At 51.5% G+C, this 8382-nt stretch overlaps 2 annotated features.

The window, feature by feature from the left end:
* Positions 2082-2376: an enhancer, noted in NCBI's record as "tiled region #10902; HepG2 Activating DNase matched - State 8:EnhW". NCBI's record gives its function as "activates a minimal TATA promoter and a strong SV40 promoter by Sharpr-MPRA in HepG2 cells {active_cell/tissue: HepG2}" and the evidence as "EXISTENCE:reporter gene assay evidence [ECO:0000049][PMID:27701403]".
* Positions 2676-2854: a silencer, noted in NCBI's record as "fragment chr10:5535211-5535389 (GRCh37/hg19 assembly coordinates)". NCBI's record gives its function as "represses an EF-1alpha promoter that drives an FKBP-Casp9 reporter gene in an ReSE screen in HepG2 liver carcinoma cells {active_cell/tissue: HepG2}" and the evidence as "EXISTENCE:reporter gene assay evidence [ECO:0000049][PMID:32094911]".

Raw genomic sequence — 8382 nt, 5'->3', positions numbered from 1 at the left:
CAAAGTCTGAGAACAGCAGCTTAAATCTGTAGAGGGCAAAATCGATTTTCTTTTCTTTTAAAAAATACCTGATTTTGAAGACACATGCTGCTCATACATGGGGAAAATAAACTTCTAATTCAGGACTGACGCTTGCTCTGGAGCAGGCGGGAGGGGTTTGGGGAAGGCATCAGAGGGGCCTCAGCTGGTTCTGAAGGTTTCATTTCTTTAGCTGATGATGTTGATGGTTATGTGGGTGTCCTCTATGTTAGTCTCTATATTTTTATGTGTCTGAAATGTTTCATACTAAAAATAATATGGGCGCATCATGGAAGGTTAGAAATCACAGAGGAGCACACGGGGAAACTCGACCCTCCTGCATGAAGCTTTGCTGGATTTTCCCCTGTGGGAAGGCCCTGCCCCACTGGCCCTGACTCCACAGTCTGTTGACTGACTCAGGAGGAAAGGGCTTGAGTTTTCCATGGAGCTAGCATGGCACCTGACTGTCTCCATTTCTATAGTTGGGGGTTGGGACAGAATCTGGAAGGGCTGAAGAAAAACCAAAACCAAAAAGAAAAAAATAAACAAGGCATTTTTTTTTCTTTTTTTTTCGAGATGGAATCTCGCTCTGTCACCCAGGCTGGAGTGCCGTGGTGTGATCTCAGCTCACTGCAACCTCTGTCTCCCAGGTTCAAGTGATTCTCCTGCCTCAGCCTCCCGAGTAGCTGGGATTATAGGCGTGCGCCACCATGCCCAGCAATTTTTCTTGTATTTTTTAGTAGAGACAGGGTTTCGCCATGTTGGATAGGCTGGTCTCGAACTCCTGACCTCAGGTGATCCACTCGCCTCGGCCTCCCAAAGTGCCAGAATTACAGGCATGAGCCACCACACCTGGCCAAAGAAGACATTTTCTACAGTAGCGTTACCAACTCTAGGGTCAGCATATACATCCAGATTTGTGATGATGGTTAGATCTGGGCTCTCCTTGCAACCGTGGACCAAGGTCCAACCTTTGAGAAGAAAATGCACTGAAATGGAAGTTCCTGGGTCCCAGGAAGGAAGGCCCTGGCCCACCCTCAGAAACACGGTCCTGTTGCCGTCTCTGCAGGCTATGGAGGCATCCGCTAGCTCTTCCATCCCCCTCTCTATCCACTCACTTAGAAACGGAATCAGCTCCACGTGTAAGGGAGTAGGTGAGAGAAAGCAGCTCAGGCTGATTTGCTGCTGGGGGAGTAGCCAGGAGACCAGGCCTGCAGACCTGTGGTGTGGACCACACTTCTGTTCCTTTTTCTGCAGGCAATAGGGGAGCTCCCCCGTGGGCTAAGAGCTCAGGCAATGGGGTGGGCACCATCCTGACTGGCTGGGGTGTAAGGGGTCTTGGAATGCTGGGCTTGCAATGTTAGAACCGGGACAGTGGAGGGCACCAGGGCTGAGCTGATCGACCCAGATGAGGATGAGGGAATGGTGCCCGGTGGCTAAAAACCTGTCCAGAAACTCACACACTTCGAGGGAAATGGGAGTCAGGGCCCCAAAAGCCTTGGTCTGACTATTTTTTTTTTTTTGAGACGGAGTCTGGCTCTGTCACCCAAGGCTGGAATACAGCTGTGCGATCTCAGCTCACTTCAACCTCAGCCTCCTGGGTTCAAGCGATTCTCCTGCCTCAGCCTCCCAAGTAGCTGGGATTACAGGCGTGCACCATGCTGGCTTATTTTTGCATTTTAGTAAAGACGGGCTTTCTCCGTGTTGGACAGGCTGGTCTTGAACTCCTGACCTCAGGTGACCTGCCTCCCAAAGTGCTGGGATTACAGGCAGGGCGAGCCATCTGATTGACTTTTATTGGGGGATCTTTTAATGGGGCAAGGAGGAGGGTTGTAGAGGAAAGGGCAACCTTCCCTGCAGAAAAGTCCCAGGAATTGCCCAGGATGCCAGACTGAAGAAGGATCAGCCTGGTATTGAAGGAGGGCCCAGGAGACTAAAGAAGGATTGAAGGAGGGCCTGGGGAACTGAATAAGGATCAGCCTGGTACTGAAGGAGGGCCCAGGAGACTAAAGGAGGATCAGCCTGGTATTGAAGGAGGGCCCGGGGAACTGAAGAAGGATCAGCCTGGCATTGAAGGAGGGCCCAGGAGACTAAAGAAGGATCAGCCTGGCATCCTGTGCAATCCCTGGGGCCTTTTCTGCAGGGAAGGTCATCCTCTAACCCTGGGCCGTTTGCACATTCCTCACTGACAATATTTACCTTTCTCTAGGTAAACAGCAGTTTCTCAATTTTTCTTCTCCTTCAGACCCAGCCTGGAGCCCCTCAGGGCCTGCAGGGCAGTTCCTAATTCCTGTACCTCCAGGGTGTAGGCTGCTGCACACAGAACGTATGATTTGCTTTGAATAAACAGGGCCACTCCTCCCTCAGTGAATGTTTGCTGGAGGAGGGACCCCCTTGGCCTCCCTGGACTCCCCTGGAGTCTTAGCAAAGACAAGAAGTCTGAAGATGAGAGGAGGGGGCAGGAGGGAGGTCGTCAAGCAGGGAGAAAGTTCTAGAGGGAGCTTCGCCAGTCTCCTGAAGATGAGAGGTCATCGAGCAGGGAGAAAGTTCAAGAGGGAGCTTCGCCAGTCTCCTGTGCGGTGGGCGTTTCTAAGGTGAGTAGAGACCACTCACCTGCTGTTTCTGGGAATTCTGCCTGACAGCAGGAATTCGCTGTGCCTCTTGGAAGCACCCATGGGTGTATGTCTCCCACCACATTCCTGCTTAGCTTCCAGGGATGTGCCGACATTCCACACCCCCGCCCTGGGCTCTGGCTGCCCAGAACCCTCTCTCCCACCTCAGGTGTCTGCTCTCCCTGCCTTCCTGGTTTCCTGGAATCCATTTCTCCAGCTCTCCATGGAACCAAATCCTGCAAATCAGCCAACCCCCACCTCTCCCTCTTCTTGGGCAGGATCCCTGACCCAGCCATGGGTCTGATCCTTCCCGGCTCTGCATGGAGGCAGCACCAATATCAGCGCACAGTTTGGGCAGGCACAGGGGGACAGGAGAGGGTCAGGCCTGGGGAGTATCTGTCGGCCAGTCCCTCCCCAGGCCATATCAGGAGGGTATGGAGTGGACGGGAGTCAGGCATGTGCACTGAGGAAGAGACACTCACTCACACCCACTCCACACACACACCAAGAGCCGCTGGCTTGCGCTGAAGCTTCCTTGTCAGGGGGTCCTTGACTTCTTGGTCGAGCCCACCAGAACAGCTTCTAAAGAATGATGGGCTCTGGTCTTGCTTAGAGGGATGCCATAGTGGGGGTGCTTCAGGCAGCAGGGATTCCAGGTGGTGGGAGCAAAGGGGAAAGGTGAACCCTGGAGTCTCCTGCAGTGGCCAGGCCAAGCCCAGACCCTCCTCCTGGGCCACCATCAGCCTTTCTACCTAGGACTGGTATTGAAGGAGGGCCCGGGGGCAGCTGCTCACAGGCTGGGGCACATTCTCTCAGGCAGTGAAGGGTCAGAGGCCTCACTGGTCTGGTCAGGCCCCAGGCCCCCGTGAGTGTGGAGTCAAGACTCCTGGGCTCCAGGCCTGAAGCTTGGGACGTGCTCTGCTGGGTGGTTTTAGGTCAGCTGCCTCCCCTGTCTGGGCTCAGCTGTGCCTTGTGTAAGGTGGGGAGGCGAGGAGCAAGAGAAACATAGTTCTTGGGAAGGAAAAGGTCACACTGGTCATCAGGAAGGCACTTCAGAATTGTCAGTCCAATGCTCACCTACACAAGCATAGACAGCAGGATAAAATGGAAACAATTTTCTAAGCAAAGACCATGTGTAAATATTTTGGAACATACCCTGCCTTTTTTTTTTTTTCCTTTTCTATCCACTCACATACTTCTATTTCTACATACTTTTCCTTCCCAGAAATGGCATCATGCAGATGACTCTGTAACCATTCTCTATCTAATGCTGTATTGTGGACACCTTTCCTTGTGAAAATAATGGAGACCCACGCCATTGCTTTTAGTGGCTGATCATATTCCATTCAATGGTTGTGTCACCCCTGGAGCCTCCAGAATGAGATGGAGAAGGAATTAAATCCCAGATCCGCTGTCCATGTGGCCTTGAGCAAATACCTTGACTTCTCTGAGTCTCGGTTTTCTTACCTGGAAAATGAGATCAATAATAATACCTGGGCTACTGGGTGCTGTGACACTAGCACTGGGTACACTGCCTGTGGAAGGTACTAGAAAGCACTCAGAGCCCACTGAAGAGCCCAGGCTTCTGGAGCGTGCTGCTGTGAGCATGTCCCAAGGTGGCCTTTGCCTGTGGAGTCCACACGTGGCCCAGTGCAGCCCCTGCCACGTAGCAGGTGCTCAGTGCTCACAGCAGGTGTGACTCATGAGTCCCCAGCCACACACACTGCCCCGGGTATGAGGGTCTAAGTGAAGAACAGTGAAGGAGAGACAGGATCCCCGGCCTGAGTTCGGCGATTCTGTCCCTCTCAGAACATCCATCATGTCATGGGAATACAGTCTGGAATCCCAGAGCCAAGGCCTGCTCCAGGCTTGTGGCCGACTTGGCATCAGGGAGTCTGGGTGCCCATGCCAGGGCTGTGGCCTTGGCAGTTGGACCCAGGGAGGGGGGCAGGGGTGAGCCCCCTACAAAGAGGGCTGTGGCAGGAAGCTCTGTGCTGATTTGGAGGTCTGGGGAATGGGCAATCAGAGAAGCATTAAGGAAGGAGAGAAGTGAAGCCACTCAGACAGCCTAGGGAGGCAGAAGACCTGTCTGGGGCAGACAGAATAACAGAGACAGGGTGTTCTAAGCCAGTTGTTCATTGTTGTTGAGCCCATTCTTAAGAAGGGCTTTGATGGGGCCACAAAGCAATAAGAAAGCAGCAGATTCTCTGAATCTACTGTCCCAAGAGACGAAGAAGGGAACTTGAGGGACTGGAGAGGAAGTGGCTCACTTCAGGTCTTAGAGCGAGGTGCTAAGAAGGACCTGGAGTGGAATTCAAGGGCTCAGAAGGGGGTCAGGGGACTGCCTTCAAGGGGTGCTTCCTGGGCATACTCTGCCCAGGGACTGGTTTTGAGGTGGGGGTCTGGTGGTGGGGTTGGTTGGGACCCACATAGTGGAATGTCTTCCGGAAGCTGGTGACTGTGAGTTACGAGAGATGCACAGACATGGCCTCTCTGCCGACTCTGAATGGCCTTGAAGACCCTCAAGGGCAGAGACCAGGCTATGCTCCACGTCTGGGTCCACAAGGGTGCCCGGTCTCAGCTCAGAACACCAAAGAGAGTAGACAGAGCCCAGGAAGCATCCGAGCAGCTGGCGCAGCTTCAGGTCACTTAGGAAAACCCAGTTCTTTGAAAGCTGCTTCTCTGAAAATTGACTTGCCAGAAGCTTAGTTCTGCAAATGGTAAACGTGCTGGTATTTCCCAACTTACTAAAAAGTTTTTTTTAAAGGATACTTAATAAAGATCACAGAAATTCATATTGGATGAGCTATTCTAAGTTGTTGACTATTTCTTTGACGTTTTATTTACTGAGTTTAAATTTTTAGTTTTGTTCAGTTCTACTTTTAGTAAATTATTTTAGCGGCAGTCAGTTCACCTAACCATTGTACCATAACCTGACAGTGTTTAAAGTTGTCTGTTTTTGTTTTGTTGTTTCATTTTTAGCATTTTGGTTCAATGGTTTTGGAGAAAGAGAGCTTCTGGTTCATTTCAAGATTCAGCCATTGGACACGTCTTCAACGTCCAGGATTTTAGAGATTGGCAGCTTTCTTTCCCCTAATAGAATTTCAACTTAAATCTATTGCTTTAGTACTTCTTTCAATTCACTGATTTATTCACTGGCTCAATCAAATGGATATTTTGCAAGTGGTTTAAGTATTTGGTAAGTGCTTGGAGTCTGAAATATGAATCACACATGAAACTGACATTCAGCAGGGGAGAACTGCACTCATGAAGCTACTGGAGTTGACTTGGGTGGGACAGCATTGGGGAAACCAAAACTAATTTCAAGTAAAGCAAAACTTCCCCCAAATCTTCCAAGAGGTTCTTCAGTAGATTGATTTGTCGGTAGATTGAATTACTCTACTTCTGATCCAAATACATGTTTCAAATTTCATATACGAAATAATACATTTTCTTCATTGGATTGCCCCCTGGATCTTTTAAATCCTAGTTTATATCCATCCTGGTAGGCCTGGTGACCCAATCCTTCTGTTAAGTTCCACATCAAATGCCTCCTGCTTTTGGAAGCTTTCCACAGCCGGGCCTGGCGCAGAGGGGGTTCCTCTGCACCTCTTTTCCAAGCAAATGGCTGAAGGTGATCTCTCCCTATTTGTACAGTTCCTTCCAGAGTGCACCTCTTACGTCATTCCTAGTGGACAAGGCCTATTCTCCATCCTCAGAACCCTGAATAGTGAAATAAAGCCCATCAATGCTTAAACTAGATGACAGGCTCCTCAAGTGTGTTGGATTCTGCATGAAACCCTCCACATGCACTGTGATGGCACGACCTGGCAGGCTCCTTTGCCCGGGAGGCCTCATCTCCAGCATGGGGGAGATGGCTTCCGTAGTGCTGATGGGATTAAAGGAAATCTTCACAGAGTTGTACTCTGCAACAAGAGGAAGAGTCAGAAATGCAACTGCAGAGAGAGGACTCCTGTCTTGTTCTCTCTTTTTGTTGTCCAAGAACCATGAAAATAGTCCTCGTATGATCACAAAATCCCAACTCATCCCCTCTTGGTCCAAACATAGGGAGAATCAAAGGCATGTCACCCTGCCAGGTAGTCAAAGATGTGGACTCCAGACCTCTAAGACCAGCTTTTAAGAGTTCAAGCCATTGTTTCTCTCTCCACAGTGGGTCCCCCTTTTATAAAAACAACAACAACAAAACTCATCAAGAACAGATTCCCAACAGGTATGGTGATCATGTGTTCCAGAAACAATTTAGGTAGAGTATTCTATCTCAGTTTCTCTGGAAATGAGTCCAGCTTTTAGTTTTTGCATGTGAACCACGGCCGCAGTGCCTAGGCTGCGCAGGTCGCCCTCCGTTCCCGCTGGAGAAGCAGGTGAGGCCTTCCCAGCCTGGGCCCAGTGCAGTCAGGCCCTGCCCAGCCCACAGATGCCTGCACCTTGCTCCTCCCCTGGCTTCCCTCTCACGTGGCTGCAGCTGGGGCAAAGGCCCAACGACTCCTTCTGTAAGCTTCTTCTTGCTTTTGCACTGTTTACCATCTCCAGGTGTGAGCTCATCTCTTTCCCCACCACAGGTGGCCCCACCCGATCTCAGCTCTGCCTTTCCCGCCTCTCTGCTGGGTTGCATAAGCCAGCGATTCCCAACCCCGGCTGCACCTGGAAGCTACCCCAGGAGCTTCTGGAGAATGTGCCGTGTGAGCCATCCCCCTGCACTGAGCCCTGGTGGGTCAGCGGTGGGGGCGCCCAGGCGTGGGGGTCTATTTAAAGCTCCCAGGTGCTGTGCGGCCAAGATTAAGAGGCACTGCTCCAAACTGTCCTGGCAACTCTGACTGTACCCGGCACTCCCCACGCCCAACCTCCCTTCTGCCCCTGGGCAGGTTGGCATCCAGTGTCGGGGAGAACCCTGGAGGCGAACGCCAGCCTTATAGAGCCCCACTGTTGGGAGGCCTGCAGGTTGGACAAGGCGAGGTCTGAGTCACCTTGGTTGGGAGCAGATGCTGCCCTGTTGGTGGCCTGCCAGCCTCTGTCCCCACCCCACCACTCAGAGACATGGTGTGCCTGCACTTTCCTGATCCGGGAGCTCCTGCCTTGCTGCCCAGATGACCTTTGGCCTAGGAAGAAGTCAAATCTCAGTGTTTTGGACCGGGCACGGTGACTCACAACTGGAATCCCAGCACTTTGGAAACCCGAGGTAGGTGGATCACTTGAGGCCAGGAGTTCGAGACTAACCTGGCCAACATGGTGAAACCCCATCTTCACTAAAAATACAAAAATTAAGGCGTGGTGGCAGGCACCTATAATCCAAACGACTCAGGAGGCTGAGGCAGTTGAATTGCTTAAACCTGGGAGGCGGAGCTTGCAGTGAGCCGAGATCGCACCACTGTACTCCAGCCTGGGCGGCAGAGCAAGACTCCGTCTCAAACAAAAACAAAAACAAAACAAACAAAAACAAATCTCAGTGCTTTTGATGAACAGTATTTTCCTGCACCGGGAGCCTTGTGGTCGTGGCTTCATGGAGGAGGTGTTGGTGACTTTCATTCACTCACTCACTATTCTACAAGTGTTTCCTTGGGTGCTTCTCCTTACTGTGAGTCTGCAGGGACTTGGAGGGAGACGCTGCGCCGGCCTCTGGGCCCAGGAGATGTAACATAAATGGCCATGCAAAGACAGTGGGTCAGGTCCCTCGTCAGTGGATTCCCATTCGAGGAGGTGCTCAGAGAAGGGGACAGACTTCCAGGAAGTGGCA

Source organism: Homo sapiens, chromosome 10, assembly GCF_000001405.40.
Source record: "Homo sapiens chromosome 10, GRCh38.p14 Primary Assembly".
NCBI classification, from domain to species: Eukaryota; Metazoa; Chordata; class Mammalia; order Primates; family Hominidae; genus Homo; species Homo sapiens.
Note: the sequence above shows the minus strand (reverse complement) of the source record. Positions and strands in the feature narration are given on the sequence as shown.